The 27,283-nt window shown below is 42.9% G+C and overlaps 1 protein-coding gene across 7 annotated transcripts; it reads right to left on the reverse strand.

Moving 5' to 3' along the window:
* On the reverse strand, window positions 211-26,691 carry ASB9 (ankyrin repeat and SOCS box containing 9). 7 transcript variants are annotated; one of them, NM_001168531.2, is made up of 8 exons: window positions 26,343-26,691; window positions 26,005-26,233; window positions 15,090-15,169; window positions 10,961-11,068; window positions 8,478-8,628; window positions 6,654-6,788; window positions 4,907-5,159; window positions 211-854 (listed from the first exon to the last, which is right to left on the reverse strand). In NM_001168531.2, the coding sequence occupies exons 2-7, from the start codon at window positions 26,096-26,098 to the stop codon at window positions 4,939-4,941; spliced, it is 789 nt and encodes a 262-aa protein (NP_001162003.1). In that variant the 5' UTR covers window positions 26,099-26,233; window positions 26,343-26,691; the 3' UTR covers window positions 211-854; window positions 4,907-4,938. The 7 variants fall into 7 exon arrangements, with proteins under 7 accessions (NP_001162003.1, XP_016884773.1, XP_016884772.1 ...); XM_017029284.2 differs by lacking the exon at window positions 26,005-26,233 and having other exon boundaries at window positions 4,968-5,159; window positions 8,478-8,541; XM_017029283.2 differs by lacking the exon at window positions 26,005-26,233 and having other exon boundaries at window positions 4,968-5,159.

The raw sequence follows: 27,283 nt of genomic DNA on the forward strand, positions 1-27,283 counted from the left end.
AACAAAATGTCTCCAGTTATTGTTAAACATCACTGGGTAACAAAATTAACCCCAGTGGAGAACCACTGAACTAGTTGCTACTGTATTAAGCAGCAAGGTTCTAGAATATGCTTAATATGTATAGTGTTTTGGTTGAAAAAAAGAACTGGCGCCCACACTATGCTAGGACAGTAGTGGTTTTGTTGTAACAACAGGGAAGCTTAAAACAAATTAGACAAGCCAAGAAATATGTTTCTTTATTTTCATTCCCATATAGCAGAGATGGAACCAGGACAGTGATGCTGGAAAAGCCTGCCTCGATCAAGTCATCACATAAGTTAATGTCAGAAAACCTGTATTTGAATTTGACTCCTCTATCCTTACTCTGGAAAATTGGACATCTTGACCCAGTGGCTGTGAGGGCTAAATTAGATGATGCAGAAAGTGCTTGGCATGCAGTAGATATGCAAAACAATAACTTATGACACTCTCCATGCAGGGAAAAAAGTCTTCATGCCTTCTAACTAATAATACAAACGTATGCAGTGTCTTTCAACCCTGGCTTGAGTTTAACAAATACAAATTGAATAGAAAAAATTAGTCAAACTCCATAAACAAGTTTATAACAAATACAAATCTAATCGAAAAAACTAGTCAAACTCTATAAATCCAACTTGATTTTAAAATTCTAGTGGCTACAACACTCAATAATGTTTTCACATCGTTTGTGAATCCATTCCCTAGATGCATTTAAAGATGTAGGAGAAACTGTTTCAGATCCTCTGGGAGGACGAGTTTGGTTATCTTATGATGCTGCTGGATTCCAAAACACTTCCGAATTCTAAGGCGGCATAACTGCATCAAAGAAGGGGGCCCTGGAGAAAGATCATAAGACAAGTCATACAATGGTGCTATTGATCTAAGACTCCTTTTTTTTAAAAAAAAAAAGCATCCAAGATAGAACATTGTTATAAGGAAATAATATTGAACTATTTAAGACCATTTTCTGGGGTTTTTTTGTAGAAGGCATTTTTAGGCTATGTTCTCTCTTTTCCGGTAGCTAATTGAAATAAGCTTGTTAGGTTTTTAATTTAGAACAGAGTGAAAGAAATTTAAAGCTTAGCCTCACTAATGGAGGCTTAAATAAGCTAACTTGGGAATTACACAGCTATACAAAAATTCCAATAATACAAATAAAATTTATGTTTAATGGTGTTCTTTTATCTTTAAAAATAAGGGCATATTTCTAGATGCAAACATTTTTATTTTATAACTTGAGCAAATTAAGGTACTCAAAAATAATGAGCTCACAGTGAATCCTAAGAGTATGTGAAGTCGTGTTTGTTTTTACATCCTGTATTCAGAGCTATTCCAATGCTTCAATTCATAAGTGAAAAGTGAACTAGCTAGCACAAACCTTGCTTAGGGAACACCCAACAGTTTACATTTTAGGACAGTGGTTCACAACTGGGAGGAGGCTCAGGGAAGGAAAGGAGGAGGAGATCATTTTGCTCCTCAGGGGACATTTGGCAGTGTCTGGAGACATTTTTGGTTGCCAAAACTTGAGGAAGGGTGCTACTGGCATCTAATGGGAGAGGCCAAGGATGCTTCTAAAAATCCCAGAGTACACAGGACAGCCCCCAACTGATTCAAAATGTCAATAGCGTCAAGGTTGAGAAACTCTGTTATAGGGCAAAAGGATGGGGAATGATTTTCCCTGCCCCCCTACCCCTGTTCCTGCATCAAATTGTAATGGGAATCTTCTTTTGGTTATTTTTTAAAAAGCAAAACTATATACCCTCAAGAACTCCATAAAGCCGTAGCCCTCAATCCAGGTAGCACTTCAGACTCACCTGGGGTGGGGGTACATTCAACTACATGGACGCTGAGTCCCCCCAACCAGGGATGTTGCTTCAGTTATTGTTGGGTGAAGCCCAAGCATCTGGATTTTCTAAAGGCATGTGCCCGAGGTCATCTGAGTGTGCGGTCAGGGTTGTGAATACATCCAAAAGGATACTGTGGTCTCTATTTTCCTATAGCAATACCACCAACTACAGGATCAACCGAGTTAACTTATCTCTCAAGGTGATGCAGAACAAGGAGAGATGGAACTCGACACATATACAATCAAAAAAATACTTGCAGTATTTTAAACCAGGCCCTAACAGAAGGGCCCTGTTGGAGTAAGGCACCTATGAGATGATGCCCAGTATACTCAAAGCATTTAAAAATGAACGGCTTCCCAGTGTTCTCAAGGCACATATTAACGAGCAGCAAAAAGCACACTGTGGGGAAACTGAACCTAATCTAACCTCACTAAGGAATGTTGAAACATGTGACTGATCATCTGTGCTAGAAACGCTGTCAGAGGCAACCGTAGGAGGTACTGATAAAGCATTACAAATAACAAGATCTCAGAGCAGGCCTGATAGAGAATTAAGAAAAGTGGGATGTCACAGGAAACTCAGTGTATTAATAACTACTGATGCCAACTGAATGCTGCTGTTTACTACAAGTAAGACAATGTAAAACAACTGTAGCTTCAAGTCCATAGACACAGAGCTGAAAACCCACTACAGATTTGCAGTCACTTGCTGGCACCTGCAAATATTCAAGGGGTTTGCTTTGCTCGGTAATAAAACCAGCTAATTGTGTATTTATGAATTGGCATATTCCTTTGGGCCTTGATTTCTTTTTTCCCCCAGCAACAACCATTGATGTTTTGTTTTTTGTTTTTTGAGACTGAGTCTCACTCTGTCGCCCAGGCTGGAGTGCAGTGGTGTGATCTCAGCTCACTGCAAGCTCCACTTCCCAGGTTCACACCATTCTCCTGCCTCAGCCTCCCGAGTACCTGGGACTACAGGTGCCTGCCACCACGCCCGGCTAATTTTTTTTGTATTTTTAGAAGAGACGGGGTTTCACCGTGTTAGCCAGGATGGTCTCTATCTCCTGAACTCATGATCCACCCACCTTGGCCTCCCAAAGTGTGGAGATTACAGGCGTGAGCCACCGTGCCCGGCCAGCAACAACCATTGATGTTTTAAAGCCAAAGTGCACTGGGTGAGGGGGGATGGGGGCTGCGGTCATGTTGGGCTGACAGTCATTTCTAGGTTTTAATTGAGCAAACACTGCTTTAGATGCTTATCAAGGGTGAGGTGGCAATATTCTTAAAATCTTTTCCCTTTTCTCAGAAAACGGGAAAATCTTACCTTTCCTAACACCCACGCAAAGCCCAATTCAGAACATGGTTGGGTTTTACCAACATTCTCCTGTTGCCATACCATTGAAAGAGGACAGTAATTGAATAAATTCCCTTCCCCAGGAAACGGAGAAACAGGTGGACTGAAGCAAATGAATGTAGGGGCACCCAGAGACAGAAACTGCTGTGAGCAATCCACAGGTCTAGTTTTCTGCACTTTCCTGACCCCATTTCTTGTGGGCTCCGAGCCCTCTGAGAGGTGACTACACCAAAACCCCAAAATTGACTCATGGAGGCAAAACAAGTAGTGATTCTCTCCAGCAGCAAATGACACCTCATAAACTAGTGGGACCATAGGCCACACTGTCACCGTGCAAAACGTAAATTCAAAATTAAAGTAATTACTGTCTCTAGGAATGGCTTTGGGAAATAAAGCAGAAGGGAAAAGCCAGGGGAGGCAATTTGAGAATGCTATGAGGTTGTTTGATGGAGGAGGGGACATATACATCCTACATTAACGTATGCCCTACGTTATGACTGAGGGGGACCTGAGGCACTTTTGCCTTTATGAATCCCTTTCTCAGTGAAAACAATTAAAAATTCTATTTCACAACTGTGTTGGTATAAAGATGATTACAATCCATGTTGTTCTATTCATTTTTTATTCTGATTGTTTAAAAATTAAGATATTTTTATGGGCCTCGTAGACATAGAACTTTTTCAAAACAAGTAATTATTAAAATGCAGATAGAACTGCTCCATGATTATCCCACTGCTTAACTGTAAGGGGCCTCTACTGGACTGTTCCTTGTCCAGGCCTGGAGTCAATCTTTTCTGCCTGACCAGCACTGCTCAGGAGCATAGGCCTTGTTTGGCATGCCCCCAGGCAGGGACTTGACTGCAAGTACCCTGGGGCAGTGAGAGTAGGAGGAAGAAGGATTCCTTAGCCCACTTTACAGTTCTGCCCAAAGCCAACCTTACTGCTCATCATGTGGGGAGAAAATAACTAGATTGTATAACATCAGAATCCTTCTGGTAGGAAGGCCTGCTTCAAAGTCCCAGAATCCCTAAGACTTCAGAGTCCATACTCCGGTAAGAAAAGAAGTACTGAGCTGGTTTCTCAACTGCCTCTGAGCCCATGAAGATTGCAAGAGGTGGCTCCCCAACTTGAGGTGTCTTTGTTCCCCAGCCCAGCCCAGGCCTCAAAGCCCTACTTCCATACACACTGCTCAACCACAATATTTCATTGTTCGAGTTGGGAGTCTCAGTTCTTACTTATAGAGAAGTGTGGACTTATCATTGGTTAATTTATAATAGTAAATATCTTTGGATTGGTGTGAACCCTAAACTCTTAAACAGCTGCATTTTAAGCCCAGAAACGAAGTGTCCAGTAGTCTGGCCCATCTGTGGTTCAACAAGATATCCTGCGGCCTCTTACAACCCCAAAGAGGACTCTGCTGCCTCATTCTAAAGCATGTTTTAAATAAATGTAATACTAAAATTTTAAAACAGTATCTTAATTTTTAAAAAACTGGCCTACCCCATAATGAATATTAGATCATCCCAAAAACCTGTATCCAATATGCTAAATAGCAGGACAGTTATTTACTGTACTGTGACCAGTACTGTATCTCATTGAATATTGAATTATCTCAACTTCCCAGATTTGGTGATGTCAGAGAATGATCTTTTTATAGGAATGGGAGCCAGAAATTGCCAAATACCTGCCTTCTACTAGAGCCCCAAGGGATGTCAACAGATTAGGGCTTAGGTTTTGGCAAAGAAGCACCTTCTCTCTCCAAGAAGAGCTGGGCCAAGGGGCTCTCTGGAGGCACCAGCTCCACAGGACGTTTGCCTTCAGCATTCTTGGCCTGGGTGTCCGCTCCAAAATCCATGAGCAGGCAGGCCAGCTCTTCACTGGCTGTCCTGGCCACTGCATGAAGTGGGGAATCCTGACCTTTCCCTTGGTTCACGTCCGCTCCTAAACAGTCACGAGAACAAAAAAGAGTCAGCAAGGAGCAGAATCCAACCATCGGGGCTTTTCAAAGCCCCGAGCCCCAAAATTTCCTAACAAGAGGGGATCCATATTGAGCACAGCAATCCTGGAAAAATGGGAGATGATGTGATTCCATTTAATAATGTGGGGAAAATCCCACCTGATAATGTTATTGAATGTACAGCATGAGGAATATAGCATAGAAAGTTAAAAATTTGCCTTTCAGCACTGTACATAGATAGGCATGATGCATATAAGAAAAATCCTAGTGACATAAAAGCTCCACATTATTATTAATGGAACCTAAGTATTAGCCAGTACAGCCTGACGGAGAGACTAGATGGTGAAATCCAGCCTACACCAAGCAGCCAAACTCACCTGGTGTGCAGCTGCCACAGGGTGTAAAACTGGACACTTGGGACTGGTGATTTGGACTTTGAAAAGCAACCAACCAACTCATGGGGGTATCCCCTGGATTGGACTGGCCAATCCCAAGATCACAGGGAAGGTGGCAAAGTTCTCCCTTTCAGGAGTAAGGTGGATTTCTAGGACTGTCCCCACCCAATTCCACTCTTACACTCTTAACAAATCCCCACCCCAGCCCAGAGCCTAGCTTTCACTGTGACATGTGGGAACATGTGGCTTTGCCTGAGCTGCCATCCCTCTGGTAAAATGAAAATCTATGTCCACTCAACAAATGTTAACTGATCTGGTCTTGTATTGTTCCTGACTTTGTGAGGGATATCAAACATGGCCCTTTCCAGGCTAGAGGCTTAAAATCTGCCCAGAGTGGCAGAGGTGGGGTGGGCAGTGGGGGAGAGACAGAGATTGCATCTCTTAATTCATAGCAATGCCTGCCAGATGAGTAGGAGGCAATAAGGACTGCAACAACATTCATTGGGAAACAGATTACTGAAGCCTTAAAGAATAAATAGGACTCAGATAATTAAAGAGGTGATGAAATGGTGTTCCAGGTGTTGAGAAGGGGGCTGGACAACAGCAGGGAGGTGAAAAGAAATAAGGGTACATAGGCCTTTTCAAGGAAAATATAATATTTGCAATGGGGCAAGTTCAATATCTAATCAAAGAGAACTGGTTAAGGTCCCAAATAGGAAGATTCAACACTAATCCAACAGCTTTGCAAGTTATGCAGGGCTTAATAATGTGACTGGCCAAATGGAGGGAGACAGAGGAAAGGGAGGAGAAACTAATAATCATTGAGGACCACCCTGAGAAGAGGCATCATCATCATCATCATCCTCCTCCTCCTCCTCCTCCTCCTCATCCTTGTTACAAATGAGAGAACTACAGTTCAAACAGTGTGAAATAATTCCCCAAGGGAACACAGTCAATATGAACCCTGACCTTGTCCAACTCCATTGCCCACACTAATTTCTCTCCTACAGCAGTAAGATGTTTAAAATACATTTAATTTACTTTTCGTTTTCTTTTCTTGTTTTGGTTTGCTTTTTGCTTTACCTGACTCCAGAAGCTTCTTGACACAGGCTCTCTGTTGGTTTTCACAAGCCAAATAGAGTGGAGTGCCCAGGTGGCTGATCTTATGGTCAATGTTGCCCCCATAAGCTATAAGAGAGTTGACACACTCCACGTGGCCTGCAGCCCAAAGCAGGAAGAAAAACAGTTACAATACAAGTTCCCTTAGCTAGAAAGACATTGCCATCCCCATTTTGCATTAAATTTGGCAGCAGCTTATCCAGGGGACCAAAAAGCTATTTCCTTCAATTAGAATCAGGAGTGATTTTATTTTATTTCATTTTATTTTATTTTAGAAACGGAGTCTCGCTCTGTCCCCCAGGCTGGAGTGCAGTGGCGCAATCTCGGCTTACTGCAAGCTCCGCCTCCTGGGTTCACGCCATTCTCCTGCCTCAGCCTCCGAGTAGCTGGTACTACAGGCGCCCGCCACCACACCCTGCTAACTTTTTTGTATTTTTAGTAGAGATGGGGTTTCACCGTGTTAGCCAGGATGGTCTCAATCTCCTGACCTCGTGGTCCGCCCGCCTCAGCCTCCCAAAATGCTGGGATTACAGGCGTGAGACCAGGCCCGGCCAAATCAGGAGTGATTTTAACCACTGCTATCAGTTAATGGTTTGACCATAGGATGCAATCTGCAACTACGGGTGAAACTCCATTTGAGTTTACTAGCCACGGTAACCAACCAGCAACTATCCACCTTTTTCAATTGTCTGTGGCTTTGTAGTTTGTCTAAGTACAGAAATTGAAGTGAGAGCTTGGGAGAGATATGGAGGAACAGGACCTGAAGGTGGAACTGAAGAATAAAGGGCACAGTGTGGGCCACGGGACAGGGAAGGAAACTTACAACCTCTCCAAAGGCAGGCCCGGGAGGAACAGGCCACAGCGGGTATAGGCAATGCTTAGAAGAAACTGCCAAATCCAACATGAGCAGGGCCCAATCTGAAAAACTAGGTGAAAGCTGAATCACACTTCCTTGGTCCAGGATGTCATATTTTTGACATTGCTCCTCTACGTTTCTCTTGCTGTATTTTAGTTCTATGTATGCAGCGAATATGATGAGTTAAGATGTTCTCAATAAATAATATTAATGCTTTGGGAGATCATTATGAGTGGGTTGGTCCAGTCAAATGGGAAGCCATTCTATGAAAGCCACTGGAGAAACAGAAAGCCCTCTGGCAAGGTATGGTCATTACGATGATGCTAAATATTGGAGAAAATAAAAACTTGTGATTTTATGAGCTAAGACTATCAGAAAAATTATGGCTTTAATGAAAAGAATTATCCCAAACTGTATGCAACATCAAATACTTTCAAAAATTGAAAGCTTATTTCATTTGGCAAACTTAAGTGTCACTGAGACAATGTTCTTTAAGGCCCTGAAATAGAAGAATATAATTTGTTTTATGAAATAACTTGATTTCTATAAGGTCACGGGTATAACAACGGATTCCACAAATATTGATGGATAGTCTACTATGTGCCAAGCCCTGTTTCAGTAATACAGCAGTGAAAAACATTCAAAATGCTCTAAAAGGGAGGCACTCAAACTTACTGTGTACCAGAAAGCAGCTGGAGGGCTTATTAAACAAAATACAGAGGGCTGAGCCCCATCCCCAGTTACTGATTCAATGGGGCTGGAGTGAGGCCGAAGAATCTGCATTTGCAGGCCAGGTCATGCTGATGCTTCCAGTCCTGGGACTCCATTTTGAGAACTACTGCTCTAAAATATATCTCCTTTTCTTTCTTTCTTTCAGCAGTAAGATGTCCCTTGAAGGAGTGGGTAGAAAAAAAAATTCTCAACAGATTTACCTCTCCTAGCAGCTTCATGGATGGGGGATGCCAGATCACTCTCAGGTTGAACGCTGGCTCCGTGCTGCAGAAGCAAATTCACACAATCCCAGCTGCCGCTGACACAAGCATTAAACAGTGGAGTGTGCCAGTCTGCTGTCACACCATTCACCTGGTAAAAGAAGCTCCAGAATGAAGACAGGAAGGGGGATGTTTTGGGTTCAAATGTGGGGTCCACCACTCTGAAGATGTTATTTAACATCTCTGAGCCTTAAATTCCTCAGCTATAAAATGGAGAAATAACTACGAAATTCCACAGGTTTTTGTGAAAAATGGAATTAGGGAGTGGCTATAAAGCATCGAAAATGTTACTCAATGTTCTATCTCCTCCATGCCCTCCCCAGGAACATGAACTTTGAAACTAGTTAGGATAATTTCAATCGCTTACAAACTAATCCCTATTTTAAACTTCTTTCCTAGACCCATCCCACACCAATTCAATTTCTTAACGGGTGCAAGAAGATTACTCTTGCTGCTGTGAGGAAATTGTTGAAATTATTAGCTGTGTAATTTAGTATATTCTTAAAGTATAATTTAGAAAACTTTAAAAAACTTGACTTTCATACAAATATAGAATTAACACATACCCAAGATTTTATTCAACTCACTCATTAATGAGGGAACCAGTAAGATGGTAAGGCTGGCTCAAAAAAACATTTGGCCAGGCGCAGTGGCTCACGCCTATAATCCCAGCACTTTGGGAGGCCGAGGCAGGCGGATTGCCTGAGCTCAGGAGTTCGAGACCAGCCTGGGCAACATGGTGAAACCCGGTCTCTACTAAGATACAAAAAATTAGCCCAGCATGGTAGCATGCGCCTGTAGTCCCAGCTACTCGGGAGGCTGAGGCAGGAGAATTACTTGAACCCGGGAGGCAGAGGTTGCAGTGAACCGAGATCACGCCACTGCACTCCAGCCTGGGCGACAGAGTGAGACTCTGTCTCAAAAAAAGAAAGAAAAAAGAAAAACGTATATAGTCAATGGACTGCTGAAATATATTTGCTAATAGATACAAAACTCCGCCGGGCACGGTGGCTCACACCTGTAATCCCAGCACTTTGGGAGACCAAGGTGGGCGGGTCACCTGAGGTCGGAAGTTCGAGACCAACCTGGGCAACATGATAACATGATGAAACCCCATCTCTACTAAAAATACAAAAATGAGCCAAGTGTGGTGGTGCGTGCCTATAATCCCAGCTACTCAGGAGGCTGAGGCAGGAGTATCACTCGAACCCAGGAGGCGGAGGTTGCAGGGAGCTGAGTTCGTGCCACTGTACTCCAGCCTGGGCGACAGAGCGAGACTCCATCTCAAAAATTAAAAAAATAAAAACATAAAAACTGGTTAATGTCCTATAGGGCCATAAAAGTATAATCTTTGAGGCTATCTTTTCTAATGTTGGAAATCAGACAGAAATTTCGAAGTTAATGTCTAACTTCACAGTGTTTGGGCTATAATTAAATAGTGAATAGAAAAGCCAAGTGCAGACACATTCTTGTATATCATTAAATGATTATCTGGTGAATCTTTTAAGCAATGATATTGTGAAGACAACGAATTCCTTCTCAAACTCTACTTCCAAGCAGGGCCAGGACCAGAGTGAGACATAAAAGTTGCCCAGGGTAAAAAATTTAAGGACATATTCATTTTTGGAGTCACACAAATAGTGCAGGACCCTGAGAGCGAGCACTTCTTTCAAGTTTGTACCCTAGGTGTCTCTTGCTTCACCTTGACACGTTCCCTGTTTCCAAGTTTTGAATGTTTTCTTAACCCAAATATAAATCTGGCAGTGCACTCACCTCTGGCTCTTTACTGATCTCAGGACAAAGCCCATTCTTTTTTTGGCATGGACAAGGTTGCTTATGTTCTGAACCCTCTCACCTACTCTACTGTCCTGCCGTAAGGAATGACTTCAAGATATAAAAATTGCTCACTATCATTTCTGGGACTTTGCATTTGCTGTTGCCAGAAGATAGCAAGCCCATAATTTTCCCCAACCCACCATTCAGTTGCCTAACACAAAACAGGTCCATTTTTGCTGCTCTTGCAATCCCTGCTACCATGTGAACAAGTCCAGGTTGCCAGCTAAAGGATGAATGACCACATAGATTTTCTGTCTCCTCAGACATCCTAGCCATCCCAGGCAAATGTGTGCTTTCCACAATATTTCATTACCTTCCGGCCATAACAATGAAGACAGAAGTCTAATAACTATTTATTAGTAGTGTATGATAAAGAAAATGATATAGACTGTAAGCGTGACTAAAAATTTAGTATTTCATCCATCCATCACTAAAGCAAACAAGCCTGATGAACATAATTTTCTTGAAAAACAACTGTCTTCATATTTCAAATCAGTCTAATCAAAAGTGCTGGAAGTTATTCAGAAGGGATATACATAGTCATTTTTCATTCTTGGTTTCTAAGATGTTGTTTCAGCTGCCCTTACCTGAGCTCCATGCTTTAATAAAATCTTCACACAAGAGAGATGACCTCCAAGACAGGCTTCATGGAGTGGGGAAACATGATCTGCCGTGATGATGTTCACAGCCCACCCCTGAAGGAGGGGAAACAGTCAGAGTAAGGGGTGCAAAGCAACAGTGCCCTGGGGCTGCTTTTCAGCCACCATTCCAGTACTATGACAAAGCTGACCTGGCTCAAAGTCAGATGTTACACTAAGGTGTTTATATTGACTTTAAAAAAAAAAAAATGCCACACTACTGGTGGGAGTGTGGTATGGTATAACCACTCAGGAAAACAGTTTGACTGTATCTATTAGAGCTGACAATGCATATGCCTATGACTCAGCAATTTGACTCTTAGGTATATATACATCTAGATAAATATACAAGAATATTCACAACAGCATTGGTCATAATAGTCAAAAACTGCAAACAAACCAAATGTCCATCAACAATGGACTGAATTAATTAACTTTGGTATAATCTTTCAGCAGAAAGATTACACCCAACAAATCATAATGGCAAGCACTACAAGGGTGATGCTTGCAAAAATAATGTTGAGCAAAAGAAGCAAAATCCAAAAGCATACACACTGAATGATTACATCAATTTAAAGTTCAAAATTAGGCAAAACTACCCCATATTGTTTCAGAAGACATAATATATAGAGTAAAACCATAAAGAAAACAAGGAAATCGGGATAATGGTTACTCCTGTGGAAGAGGGACAGGATTGTGTTCTAGAAAGCACAATAAGGGGAGGGATGGGTGAGTCTTTGGAGGAGCCAGCATTGTGCTATTTTTCCATTTCCTGACCTGGGGAGGCAGTCACATGGCAATATTCTCATCATCATCACTTTTTATTCAACTGCACACGTGTTTAAGTTCTTTCATGCTTATGAAATTTCTCAATTTTTTTAAAGTCAGCGTGGCCCAAATTGCTAAGTTTTAACAAGCAATTATTAAGTTTTAACATATTCACAAGTGGCTCTACCTTGTGAGACAATTAAAAGGAAATTTTCAAACTGCGAGGGAAAAGAAATAGACTGCTGCATGTACCTTTTAGGAAGCCTAAATGTACTTTCTTATTTTAGGAAATTGAAATGTACCTATTAACTAATATAATTGCTCTTTAAACATAAGTATTTAGTAACACACAGGATTTAATAATATTTGTAATAAAAATATCAGTTTCACCCAATTTTTTTTCTCAAAAAAACCCTCCTTTTCCTGACATTTAATTGTTTTTCTTAGATTTCCTAGCTCTATCATAGTTTTGACAAGGGGGTCAACAAACAGTAGCCTACAGAGTCAAATCTAGCCTACACCTGCTTCTGTAGCTAGGAATGGTTTCTACATTTTTAATGGTTTAAAAGAAATCAAAGGAATATTTTGTGACACGTGAAAATTTTATGAAATTCAAATTTCAGCATCCATAAGCAAAGTTTTATCAGAACACAGCCATGCCCATTCATTTACATATTGTCTACAACTGCTTTTCTGCTAAACAGCAGAGTTAGGTACTTCCAACAGAGACTGCATGGTTCGCAAGGCCTAAGATTCTTTTTTTTTTTTTTTTTTTTTTTTGAGACGATGTCTTGCTCTGTCGCCGAGGCTGGAGTGCAGTGGCGCGATCTCGGGTCACTGCAAGCTCCACCTCCTGGGTTCACGCCACTCTCCTGCCTCAGCCTCCCAGCCTAAAATATTTACTATCTGGTCCTTTACTGAAAAAAATTTGCCAACTCTTGGCCGGGTGCAGTGGCTCACGCCTGTAATCCCAGCACTTTGGGAGGCCGAGGCAGGCGGATCACGAGGTCAGGAGATCGAGACCATCCTGGCTAACACGGTGAAACCCCATCTCTACTAAAAATACAAAAAATTAGCCGGGCGAGGTGGGGGACACCTGTAGTCCCAGCTACTCGGGAGGCTGAGGCAGGAGAATGGCGTGAACCCCAGGGGGCGGAGCCTGCAGTGAGCCGAGATGGCGCCACTGCACTCCAGCCTGGGCGACAGCAAGACTCCGTCTCAAAAAAAAAAAAAAAAAAAGAAAGAAAAAAATGTGCCAACTTTTGTCGTGATCAAAGAAAAGAATATGTCATTTCTTACTTTACTATTCATACCTAAGACTTAAATGTCCAATTGGCAGGAGAAAATATCTTATTTTCTCACAGTCATCACACTTATAGAAAGTAGCTTTGTCAATGCCACAAGAGGGGTATGATTGTCACATGAAGCAAAAATCATGCAAGTGTATCAGACACAAGTTGGGGGAAGGCAGGCCGAGGTACAGAACTTGGGCAAAAGGCAACCATAAAAACAACCAATAGGAAAATGTGCATACTCCTCCAGGCACAACTGCCATTGTAAAACCGGCATTTAGACCAGGCACGGTGGCTCATGCCTATAATCCCAGCACTTTGGGAGGCTAAGGCTGATGGATTATCTGAGGTCAGCAGTTTGAGACCAGCCTGACCAACATGGTGAAACCTCGTCTCTACTAAAAATATAAAATTAGCGGGGCGTGGTGGCACATGCCTGTAGTCCCAGCTACTCGGGAGGCTGAGGCAGAATTGCTTCAACCCAGGAGGCGGAGGTTGCAGTGAGCCGAGATCGCGCCACTGCACTCCAGATGGCAACAAGAGTGAAACTCCATCTCAAAAAAATAATAATAATAATAATAATAATGATAAAAATAAAACCAGCATTTAGGTGTTTATACATAAATCCACGTAAATGAAATACAACAACACAGCTATTCGTAACACAAAAAGTTTTCACCACATATTCACATTGCAGAGAGGTTCCTTCTGTAAAGTTAGAAACTCATTTGTAGTTCATCATCAAGCTACAGTTCTACCTTAAATTAACTGTGATTTGTCTAAATTATTAACAAGTCTGAGTCATATAAAATCATAAGGTAATTAACCCATTACTTCACAGTGTTCAGTCCACAGTCAGTTCTTAGTTTTTAAAAAAAGATTGAATGGCTTAACTTTAATATATCTATTTTCAGTCGTCAACTACGCTTAGTTGACAAAATGTACTTCTCTTGAGCCTTGACTTTGGATGTGGTCATGTGACTTGACCAGTGGGATGTTAGCAGATGTGACATGAACAGATTGGAAGTATTCTTGCATGGTGGGGCTTGTCCTGCTGTGCTCCAGCGTTTTGCCAAGAAAAAATAATTCCTCAGGTAGCCAGTGGTCCAAGCAGGATGAAAGAGATGTGCAGCAGGGCTACACCCAACCCACAGCTGGGAGCCAAGCCCAGCCAAGCCCAGCCTAGATGAACTGACACAAACACACATCAGCAAGAAATAATGGTTACTGTATCATGTCACTGAGTTTTGGGATGGTTTGTTATTGAGTTATGGGGTGGACTGACCTAGGTAGGTATTAGAATACTCATTTTATGAAAGCAGAAACCGGGGCTCTAAAAAGACATCTTACACAAATAATGTGATAGAACTTGGAGATATGGTTCTGGCTGATGTTTCATAAACACATAAATACTGAATGTAAATGAGTATCTGTCCAATTTAAGAAGTGATATATAAAAGCTGCAGTGATCATTTTTCATGCTATCAAAATAGGGTAAATTTCTAATTTTATCTGAGAAGTAGCCTAACTTCTTTTAGCTAGAATTAGTGTTATAATCTATTTATAATAGACTGCTGCTACCAAAAATGGCTTAAGATAGTGGCTTAGGATAGTATGAAATTTTTCTTTAGAAATTATTTTCTTATAGGAGGACTTCTTACTCTAGATAGGTCTATGAAATTGGATTTTTTAAAGCACATTTATTCTCACTCAGCTCTATCTGAAATTTAGCATTTCCTTCAGTTCAGAATGTAGACAACAAACCACAGTAGTAATAGTATTATGTAGGGTTATCTCCAATAGAAATTACAGATATTTTCTATTGTATTACAATTGCTGTAGACATCTAAAATATCTCAAAATCTATACTCATCCTATTTAGACGTTATGGTAGTTACTAGAATCACCACTAGGTCTTCTATTTAATGAATTAATTTAAAAGTCCCTATGTTATTATGTCACACATTTGTTTTAATATTTTGATAGGTTTCTTCTGTATTGTATTTTCAAAAAGCTACCTGGCTGATGAGGTTCCTCAGAGACAGCTGATGTCCGTGGATTGCAGCTTCATGCATAGGAGACCAATCAGACACAGCATCTGTATGGAAAGAGGGGAATGGGTTATATCCTGCTAATGCACTTAGACCCAGAGGCTTATCCTTGCCCATCAATAAGAGCCTAACAGGCCCTGGATGGAGGGAGACATTGGATTCACTCAACCAAAATTCCCATCAGGAATTCAGCATTTCTCTTCTTTATTAATATTTTTTGTGCACAGTTTGTTTGAAATGTCTGGATAGCTTGGGAAAGAACTACAGCCAGTCCTCAAACTAAGGACAAAAGAGGTGGATTGGGATGACAGATTACTCTATTTCTATTTACACACTGGTTTCAAAGGCAAATGGCCCATTTAGTTAAGCGAGAGCTTCACTAATTACCAACATTAGTGTGTTAAGCTGTAGCTGTCAGTCTAGTTTCCTGCATGAAATACAGACTTTGGCATCTCACCAAACAGTGTTCTGTATTAATAGTAGTAATCATGTAATTACATACACCATTAGGTTTGGAATCAAATCTAAACAGAACCATATCTATTTATAGATTATCTCCTGTCCTAATATTAAGCACAAATCAGTGTTCAGTCTCACCTTGAAACAGGGACATTATTTACCCTCAAAGGCAGCATGCCAAGGTGGTTAAAGAAAGCTCTTAATTCAGACCCGCTTCACCTTTTCTGACCTGTGGGTCCCGGGAAAGGCCCAGTGCCGCAGTTTCCTTCTCTGTAAAGTTACAAGTTGAGCAGCCCTAATATATAACATACAGGTTGAGCATCCTTAACCCAAAACTCCCAAATCCAAAATGCTCCAAAATCCAAAGCTTCTTGAGTGCTAACATGATGCCACAAGTGGAAAATTCCACATCTGACATGTGATGGGTTGCAGTCAAAACGTTGTTTCATGCACAAACTTATTTAAAATATTATATAAAATTATCTCAGGTTATGTGTGTAAGGTGTATATAAAACATAAATGCATTTCGTGTTTAGACTTGAGTACCATCCACAAGATAAGTCATTATGTATATGCAAATATTCCAACATCTGAAAAAACTGGAAACACTTCTGGTCCCAAGGATTTCAGAGACGGGATGCTCAACCTGTACTTACCATGGCTCAACACATACTAGCTACTATTATTATCCTGCCCTAACACTAAACAGAGAGTCTTAATTATACCTCATCATCATTGCTATTTAAAATAGCAAATTTACACCAGGCGTGGTGGCTCACACCTGCAATCCCAGCACTTTGAGAGGCCGAGGTGGGCAGATCACCTGAGGTCAGGAGTTCGAGACCAGCCTTGCAACATGGTGAAACACCATCTCTAGTAAAAATGTAAAAATTAGCTGGGTGTGGTGGCTCACGCCTATAATCCCAGCTAGTCGGGAGGCTGAGGCGGGAGAATCGGTTGAACCCGGGAGGCGGAGGTTGCAGTGAGCCGAGATCATGCCACTGCACTCCAGCCTGGGTGACACAGTGAGACTCTGTCTCAAAAAAATAAAATAAAATAGCAAATTTATTCTACAACCACATAGAAGGAAAACAAATTCTTAGGAAAGAAGCCTGAAAACCCAATCCCAACCCATTAAATGCTTTCCTCTCTCTTAATTGAATATAACTGAATGAGGCATAGATCTGATTTTTTTCTCATCTCAAGCTTCATCTGATTTCCAGTAGAAATGTGAGGGAGGCGTGCCTGAACCTGCTTCAGCTCCAGCTCCACCTGCTTCGCCAAACACACTACATACAAACAAGGTAGAAAGGTCTGGTGCCAGTTATGCCTTGCACGGAAGCTAATAGCTCCTAAAAACTGAGAAGACCTGGAGAAGGAGGATACTTAACTATCTATACCTTGCAAACTGAAAGGCTATGAAGTATCCTTTGTATTTAACACATGTTGGCTTAACACTTTGTACTTAACACATGAGGCCCGTCTGTCTGCCACCTGAAGCCATCAGTGCCCTGGAAAATCTGTATTAGTAAGCAAATTACCATTCTTCCAGATGGATTCATTAAGCATTTAGTACATAAAAGGAAGACAAATGAGCCCATCTACATACCGCCCATCCAATGCTTTCCTTCTGGGGTCACTAAAGGTGCTTGAGACAAGGTACATCTTAAGTGAAATGGCTTTTCGTACCGTCAAAACCTCACGCTTAATAGATACTCAATGTCCTCACGGCATTCTCTGAGGCTCCTAATTATTTCTGGAATAATACTGCTGATTCTAGGGCTTGGAAGCTAAAATTCGGACTGCAGACATGGAAAGATTGATCTCCAAATTAGAATTAAAAGGACAACTAATTCCACCCTGTTGGTGCTGATAATGCCAAATACCATTCACACAAAATCTTGAATGAGAACAAAGAGCCACAAATTGAGAAAGGTTTTGAAAATCAGTTTTCAATAGATTTGCAAATGTATCTTGATGGATCACCATATGTATGATGATTAATCCACTTTTTTTTCCAAGTGCTCAGCTGCTAAGAAATACAGCTGCCACATTCCCCAACCTCTCTTAGAGCTCCCTAAGATTATTATTGTCGACAGGCTAAACAGTCCAGGCAGGTAGATTGCATCCTAATTTGTAACTGTCCAGATTTCATAAAAATGACGCATTTATCAAGTGTAGCCACAAATGGTCTTACTTTCTGCTCATTCATCATGGGACCATTACTCTTTCTATTTGGGGCAAATAAAGAAGTACGTACTTCTCCAAGAGAATAACAAGGCTATCTGAATTTGCACCTCTGCAGAATGTAGTGTTTACAGAGCAGAGACAGCTTGTGTCTTTGAGAAGTACAGAGTGTTGTCCTGGTACACGTAGTGAGGGGCTGACAATGTGAATATCTCTAGCTAGCTAGCTAGCAAGCAGCTGTATTGAGATATAATTCACATACCATACAATACACCCATTTAATGTGTACAATTCAGCAGTTTTCAGTATATTCAGAGCTATGCAACCAACACCACAATCAATTTTAGAACATTTTCATCACCCCAAAAAGAAACTCTGTGCCCATTAGCAGTCACTCCACAGTTCTACTTCCCTCAGCCCCTGGCAGCCATGGATCTACTTTCTGTCTCTATGGATTTGCCTATTCTGGACATTTCATATAAATGAAACCATACAGTATGTGGTACTTTGCAACTGGCTTCTTTTATTTAGCATGTTTCAAAGTTTCATCCATGTTGTAGCGTGCATCAGTACTTCATTCCTTTTTTTTTTTTTTTTGGCCAAATAATTCCATTGTATGGATAAGCCACATTTTATGTATTCATTCATCAGCTGATAAAAATTTGTGTCATTTCTACTTCTTGCCTATTATGAATAATGCTGCTATAAACATTCATATACAAGTTTTTGAGCAGATATATGTTTTCAATTCTCCTGAATATGCACCTAAAAGAATTGCTGTATGATATGGTAACACAATGTTTATTTTGAGACTGTTTTCCAAAGTGGCTGCCCTACTGTATGTTCCCATCAGCAGGATATGAGGCTTCCCCTTCTAACATAAAGTCATTTCAGTTCAGGGTTTGTTAAGCCTGTCACAGTATGCCTATGCTCCTGCCCAGAAGAAAAACGTGAGTCCCTGTAAAACTAAAATCCATCTCAAATTTATACAAGGACTTTGACCTCAGCAGGTATCAGAACAAATGAGTGATTATGTGAAAATTTACAGTAGTGACAATTAATAATTTAACATTTTTCTTTGTGTGTAATGTTCTGTTGGTTTTTTGAGACGGAGTCTCATTCTGTCACCCAGGCTGGAGTACAGTGGGGCAATCTTGGCTCACTGCAACCTCCACCTCCTGGGTTCAAGTGGTTCTCCTGCCTCAGCCTCTCAAGTAACTGGGACTACAGGTGCACACCATCACACTCAGTTAATTTTTGTAACTTTAGTAGAGACAGGATTTCACCATGTTGGCCAGGCTGGTCTCCAACTCCTGACCTCAAGTGATCCATGCGCCTCAGCCTCCCAAAGTGCTGGGATTATAGGCATGAGCCACTGCGCCTGGCCTAGTTTAACATTTTTCTAACATTCAGAGAGCATAGATTGTGTGTATGTGTGTGTGTATTAGCAAGAACTTATCTTTCTTTTAAATTGTACCCTCATCAAACCTGGAGCACATTAGGGAGGCTGCCATTTCATTTTTATTGTAATTTGTGGAACATTTTTTTCATTTCCATTATTTCAAAAGAGATTTAAGATGCACTAATTGCTACATGCTGAAAATAGCTATTACTGATGTTCTGAGAACCCCAGTGAATGCTGGGCGGTAGCATAAATCTACTCATCCTGAGAAACGTTTTGCAAAGTCAAGGAGACAAAAAAGAAGTCGGGTTGCTCTGAGGGGACAGGAGTATTTGCCTTCAGTCTTCAGGACACAATAAGGGTGGATTCAGTGGCATGAACCAACCTGCCAGAACCTGGAAAGTATCTGGGTGCTGTATTCACAATTATTGTGGACCTTGGTTTGATCCCAGGACAAACAGAAAGAGGAGAAAAAGAAACAAGAGGCTTACAGTCAGAAACAAACAGAAAGGCCCACTGAGGCAACTCTTGGGCAAGTCAGGCCTGTCCACTGCAGTTCTTTCTCCAGTTCCATCATCCAGCCTCTCCTCTCCTCTTTCTTCTCTCTCTTCTCTCTCTTCTCTTTCCTGTCTCCCTCTCTCTTCTCTCTCTCTCTCTCTCTCTCAATATAAAGCTGCCTTCTCCAAAGGGCCCTCACATTATCACCCATTCTGTCTCAACAGGCAGGTTTTCCCCCAGAAAACTCACCCCTCCTGAGGTGCCCCAATATCTAAAAATTCACCATAAGACAATAAAATTGTTTTCTTTCAATACCTGTTCTAGCTTGTCTTCTGTTTAAATGTGAATACTCTCTACAGGGTGGGCTCAATTTTGCAAGGATAGAAATATCTCTACAGTTGTCAGTCTTCAGGCAAAACCCCAAAAGATAGACACTAACACTGGGAACAGTGATTACCTGCTTGGTGGAATTATGGGTGGTTAGTTTATCCTTCAATGTATTTTCCTAAGTTTCTATGAGTAGGTATAAATTAGCCTCCTAGGGATACCATAACGAAACACCACAAACTGGGTGGCTTAAAACAACAGAAATTTGTTGTCGCCGAGTCCTAGAGGCTAGCAGTTGGCTAGAAGTCTGAAATCAAGGTGTGGACAGGGCCATACTCTATCCAAAGGCTCTAGGGAAAAATCCTTCCTTGCCTCTTCTAGCTTCTGGCAGTGGCCATCAGTCCTTGGTGTTCCTTGGTTTCTAGATGTGTCACTCCTATCTCTGCCTCTGTTGTCACATAGCATTCTCCATGTGTCTCCTTCTCCTTTTCTTATAGGGACTCTGGTCATGTTGGATTAAGGTCCATCCTACCCTACTTACGACCTCACCTGAACTAATCTTAACTAATAAGGTCACATTCTGAGGCACGGGGGTTAAGAACTTAACCATATATATTTTCAGGGTACACAATTTAACTCGTAACAAGCTACTTTCAGGAAAAAATTAAGACATTCTTTCCCTGCTCCTTGGACAGGAGAGTCTAACATGAAACAAATCTCTATAAAGAGTTGGTTGCCCATTTTTATAGCCTTTCCTCCCTCCCTACCCCCAGGGAAGTGGGCAGAAAAACGCCTGCAGGTGGAGGTGGGAGCAGCAAGATGATCCACACCTGGGCCCTATTTTCCCCTCTAACTTGGCCTTGTGCAAAGGGACAAGCTTCACCTGAGCTGAGTTTCTTGGCACAGCTATTTGAAAACAGCATTCTGAGTGTTCCCCATTCCACACTTCACCAAGGTTAAGACCTCAGAAGCATAAACAAAAGCAACCAACTACAATTGAGGTTTTACCCAAGGGGCAGGACTGATGCAAAGCAGACGGAGAATGACTCCACTTGAGTAGGGAGAGGTGGAAAGTCTAGGAGGGCTTCATGGGGGCAATGGCTCAGCTGGGTGTAGAAGGTGAGTAGCAATTTGCCAGTCAGATTCACAACAGGAGGTAAGAAACCAGAAGTATCCAGGCACCTACCCTTGTGACTTCTACTTCTTTGAAAACTTCTCTTCCCTTAGCACCTGTGTAATTACAACATCCAGAATCTCTTTCTGCTTCTCTGTCCAACTTACTGGTCCTACTTCATCAACTGGAGGCCTGTCCCAGGGTTCCATCCTTGGTTGACTCTCAGCTCTTAGCCATTGGACAATTTCTCCCTTCCCTAGGTTTCAACCACAGCCCCTCTGTAGGACATTCTGAGGTATCTGGCTTCTAACCTGTGATCGTTCCTAAGTCTCAGTCCCATGTCATCATACTGTGCACTGGGCATCATTGTTAGCACTATCATGTCCAAAACAGAACTCTGTATCCTCCCCTCCTCATCCTGCATCCAAGGCAACTTCCTTTCCAACTTCCCTCTTATCTAGCTTATCTGACATTACTTTGGGCTTGAGAACCTTATAATTTTGCCTGCCTTCTGTTAGTTCCAACATTTAATCAAGCAACATACGCTGATTTATCTTTCCTTTGAAATCATCGCCCTTTCTCTGTCATTTCCAAAGTTCGATCCAAATGTAAGTTTCATGGTTGGATTAGTGCAGTAGTTTTCAAAGTATGGTCCCTGACCAGTACCATCCATTTCACCTGGGAGTTTGTTATGAATGCAGATTCCTAGGCCCCCACCCCAGGCCTACGACTTCATCAAAAGCTGCATCATCTGCATTTTTTTTTTTTGAGACAGAGTCTCGCTCTGTTGCCCAGGCTGGAGTACAGTGGCATGATCTCAGCTCACTGCAACCTCCGCCCTCCCAAGTTCAAGCAATTCTCCTGCCTCGGCCTCCTAAGTAGCTGGGACTACAGGCATGTGCCAACACACCCAGCTAATTTTTTTTTTTTTTTTTGAGACAGAGTTTCACTCTTGTTGCCCAGGTTGGAGTGCAGTGGTGTGATCTCGGCTCACCACAACCTCTGCCTCCCGGGTTCAAGCGACTTTCCTGCCTCAGCCTCCCGGGTAGCTGGGATTACAGGCATGCACCACCATGCCCGGCTAATTTTGTATTTTTAGTAAAGACTGGGTTTCTCCATGTTGGTCAGGCTGGTCTGGAACTCCCAACCTCAGGTGATCCGCCTGCCTCGGCCTCCCAAAGTGCTGGGATTACAGGTGTGAGGCACTGCACCCAGTCAAATGTTTGTATTTTTAGTAGAGATGGGGTTTCACCATGTTGGATAGGCTGGTCTGGAACTCCTGACCTCAAGTGATCCGCCCACCTCAGCCTCCCAAAGTGCTGGGATTACAGGCGTGAGCCACCGTGCCCAGCCAGAAGCTGCATTATCTGTATTTCAATAAGCTCTCCAGGTGATGTAGAGGCACATGAGAATTTGAGAACCACTGGATGAATGCAACCATCTCCCACGATTCCAACACAATCTATCCCAGCTGTGGCTACCATGTTAATTGACCTACAGCCTTATTACCAGGTCTCTGTTCTAGAACCACCAATGGCTCTCAATTTCCTGCCTCATGAAGCCTGACCTCCTCCACTTAGCTCTTCAAGCTTTATCTGCCACTCCATCTCTTCAAACTTGTTCTCACTAGACTCCCTAAGACATTCACATTTTGCACTCTAGCTGTAAAAACTTGTTGACTTTACAAGCACCATGCCTTTGCGTATAACACCTGCCCACTCCCACTCACCCACCCTGACCCCACCAGGGTTGTATTAGGAACTTTAGAAATCCTGAACAGTTGGCTCACGCCTGTAATCCCAGCACTTTGGGAGGCCAAGGTGGGTGGATCACGAGGTCAGGAGATTGAGACCATCCTGGCTAACATGGTGAAACCCCGTCTCTACTAAAAATACAAAAAATTAGCCGGGCGTGGTGGCGGGCGCCTGTAGTCCCAGCTACTCAGGAGGCTGAGGCAGGAGAATGGCGTGAACCCGGGAGGCGGAGCTTGCAGTGAGCCAAGATTGTGCCACTGCACTCCAGCCTGGGCGACAGAGCGAGACTCCATCTCAAAAAAAAAAAAAAAAAAGAAAAAGAAACCCTAACAGTGAAAAGTGGCTGGTGCCTCTCTCCCATGTGGAAACAAAAATAAATACAATACTTAGCTATAAAATAACCGTGCAGAAGTCAACCAAATTACCGATTCTTTCCCATAATGATTGGTTTGCTGTTTTAAAAATATATTTATCGGCCGGGCACAGTGGCTCACACCTGTAATCCTAGCACTTTGGGAGGCCGAGGCGGGCAGACTTCCCTGAGCTCAGGAGTTGGAGACCAGCCTGGGGCAACATGGTGAAACCCCGTCTCTACTAAAATACAAAAAAAAAACACCCCAAAAAATTAGCCAGGCGTGTGCCTGTAGTCCCACCTAGTCCCTGCCTCTCCCTCCTGAGGCAGAATTGCTTGAACCCAGGAGGCCGAGGTTGCAGTGAGCCGAGATGGTGCCACTGCACTCCAGCCTGGTAACAGAGCGAGACTCCATCTAAAAAAAAAATATATATATATATATAATTATATATATAATTCCTTGTAAAAAGTGGCCGGGCGTGGTGGCTCACGCCTGTAATCCCAGCACTTTGGGAGGCCAAGGCGGGCGGATCACGAGGTCAGGAGATTGAGACCATCCTGGCTAACATGGTGAAACCCCGTCTCTACTAAAAATACAAAAATCAGCTGGGTGTGGTGGCGGACGCCTGTAATCCCAGCTACTCAGGAGGCTGAGGCAGGAAAGTCGCTTGAACACGGGAAGGTGGAGTTTGCAGTGAGCTGAGATTGCTCCACTGCATTCCAGCCTGGGTGACAGAGTGAAACTCCACTTCAAAAAAAACAAAAAAAAAAAAAAAAAAAGAAATTCTTTGTGAAAAGTGATTTTTGATGCCACTCTTGCTTTCCTAGTTCTCCAAACTCATGCTCAATACATCTGCTGATTAATCCAGTTCTGCCTTTGTGGATCTAAATCCCACTCACCATTGAGTACTCTGCTCATTTTATAAGTGAAATTGGATAAATGAATGAATGAATGAGCAGGCTAGTCTACTCAGTCAAAGGGAAGACGTTTTGTGTTTTATTTCTTCCATTTTTACCTTTTTGGTACCTGTATAGTAGATTAATAAACCCTGACTGACGGCCGGGCGTGGTGGCTCACACCTGTAATCCCAGCACTTTGGGAGGCCCAGGCGGGCAGATCACCTGAGGTCAGGAGTTCTAGACCAGCCTGGCCAACGTGGTGAAACCCCGTCTCTACTAAAAATACAAAAATTAGCCGGGTGTGGTGGCGGGCGCTTATAATCCCAGCTACTCGGGAGGCTGAGGCAGGAGAATCTCTTGAACCCGGGAGGCAGAGGTTGCAGTGAGCGGAGATCTCGCCATTGCACTCCAGCCCAGGCGACAGAATGAGACTCCGTCTCAAAAAAACAAAACAAAACAAAACACCCTGACTTCAGGGTCCCTGTTTATTGCCCCTTTGATCAACAGGTGCTGTGGACAGTATACCAGGTATATATTTTTTTCTTTTTTCTTTGATACGGAGTCTCACTCTGTCGCCAGGCTGGAGTGCTGTGGCGAGATCTAGGTGCACTGCAACCTCCGCCTCCCGGGTTCAAGTGATTCTCCTGCCTCAGCCTCCCGAGTAGCTGGGATTACAGGCACGTGCCATCACACCCAGCTAATTTTTGTATTTTAGGTAGCGACGGAATTTCATCATGTTGGCCAGGATGGTATCCTGACATCGTGATCTGCCCGCCTCGGCCTCCGAAAGTACTGGGATTACAGGCGTAAACCACCGTGCCCCGCCTATATATACAGGCCTGAACCCGGGAGGCGGAGGTTGCAGTGAGTCGAGATCGCGCCACTGCACTCCAGCCTGGGCCACAGAGCAAGACTCCGTCTCAAAAAGAAAAAAAAATTAATAAATAATAAATACAGCAATTCAGCAGGGCTGCTGCAACACCAGCTTTCCCAGCTCTGGGTGCTGGGGCTTGTCTCCGTCACAAGCCCCCAAGGATCTCAACAGGGTGAACAACAGTTGCAGAAAGTGAGCTGTTGCCTTCACCCTCACCCTGCTGCTCCCTTTGCTCTCCGAAAGTTACGAACTTTGAGTTTCCTTCCCGATAAACTCCAAGGTTTCCTCACTGATTGGTCTCAGTTTGGGAAAGGACGTGACATCAGCAAGTTTGCAGACTTGGGGCTGGAGAGTTAACCAGTATATTACTAACCAATATACTATTATTTATAAGAACCTGTGTGCAAATGCCTAAACCCATTTTTCAGAATCCTTTCAGCCAACAGGCACCTGCTGAATGCTCACCGAAGTGTGTATTTGTGGGATTCTGTACATTAGCACAGACACCACTTGACAGATGAGAACAATACCTGTAAGATGATTCTCCAATGTTTTAAGTAAAACAAAGTCTCTTTTGTCTCTTTTGAAAGTGACTCAATCAGTGCTCAATGTTTGAACATCTTTATAAACCCTGCCCCACCTAAATGCCAAACACCTAAGACTTACAAATTAAAAAGTTTTAGCATTAAAAATTTTCCTATTTATAAGTAACTTTCAAACCTCCAATTTAATAAATAATGCATTTGACCCACAAAGAATGATTCCTGGGAGCTGAAATTTTCACTGGAGAATAATTTGTGACAATTGAATTTGTCTTGTCTGTAGGATTCTGCAGAAAGAAGTATACACATTTTTGAACAGCTGTGTAAAGAATATATACCAGTGAGCTGTGGACATCTGCCCAGTAACAGCCCCATGGACACCTCACACAGAGCCACTGAAACTGCCCAACCCTCCTCTCCTAAGCACATTAGCCAACCTCCCCAGGGCTGATTCCACTGCCCCTATGACTCACCGCCCATCAATGGGTTTGAAAGAAGCCTGATGCCAGGAAAGTCCCTTGGCCCCGCGGGCTTGCTCCCATCCATGCCCCCTTGTTTGCCATCCATGATGCTCTCTCCTAAGCGAGCAAGCTCTGCGCTCCACTTCAGTTGCTCAGCAAAGTCCAAACTCCATGCTCCCCCTGCTCCTGAAAAATTCCAGTTCTGTGGCTGGCTGAGCTGCACACGTTCTGGTCAAATGGTCTGCAGCAAAGCACAGAGCAGGCAGGGTAATCTGAGTGCTACCTGTGATCAGAGAGAGGCATGCGCTCGTGTACACACACACACACACACACACACACACACGTTTTACCTAACTGGCTGGAGGCCCGCCAGAGGCCACAAGAACCCTCCAGCCCTAAGTCTGCGAAGTTGCTGATGTCACGTCCTTTCCCAAACTGAGACCAATCAGTGAGGAAGCCTTGGAGTTTATCAGGAAGGAAACTCAGTTTGTAACTTTTGAGAGTGAAGGGAGCAGGGTGGGGGTGAAGGAAACAGCTCACTTTCTGCAACTGTTGTTCACCCTGCTGAGATCCGTTTGTTACATGGTAGCTTGTTATGGAGACAAGCCCGAGCACCCAGAGCTGAGAAAGCTGGTTTTGCAGCAGCCCTGCTGAATTGCTTGCACAGTAACATGCACAGCACGCCCTGGCCATCTGTACATGTGCTTTCAATTGTGCTGGGAGTTTCTTATGGGAAATGTGTCTATATGTTACAAAAAATGTACCTTTGGAAAGAACCATTTGTTCCTTTCAGCTGCAAGAATTTCACTAAATGTCCTACCTCACCCCTCCTCCACTCATTTTAACTTCTAAATAAATAATGAACGGTTGCAATTGGAAAAATGGATTGCTAGGTGGCCTGAGATGTGGAAGAGACCTGCTATCTTTTCATTGTGAATTACTAAAATTTATTTTGTTAACGTTTTGCTGTTTTTGCTTATACAAAACATTAGGGGCCGGGCGCGGTGGCTCATGCCTGTAATCCCGGCACTTTGGGAGGCCAAGGCGGGCGGATCACGAGGTCAGGAGTTTGAGACCAGCCTGACTAACATAGTGAAACCCCGTCTCTACTAAAAATACAAAAAAATTAGCTGGGCCTGGTGGCAGGCGCCTGTAATCCCAGCTACTCGGGATGCTGAGGCAGGAGAATCGCTTGAACCCAGGAGGCAGAGGTTGCAGTGAGCCGAGATCATGCCACTGCACTCTAGCCCAGGCGACAGTGCGAGACTCCACCTCAAAAAAAAAAAAATTT

Source organism: Homo sapiens, chromosome X, assembly GCF_000001405.40.
Source record: "Homo sapiens chromosome X, GRCh38.p14 Primary Assembly".
NCBI classification, from domain to species: domain Eukaryota; kingdom Metazoa; phylum Chordata; class Mammalia; order Primates; family Hominidae; genus Homo; species Homo sapiens.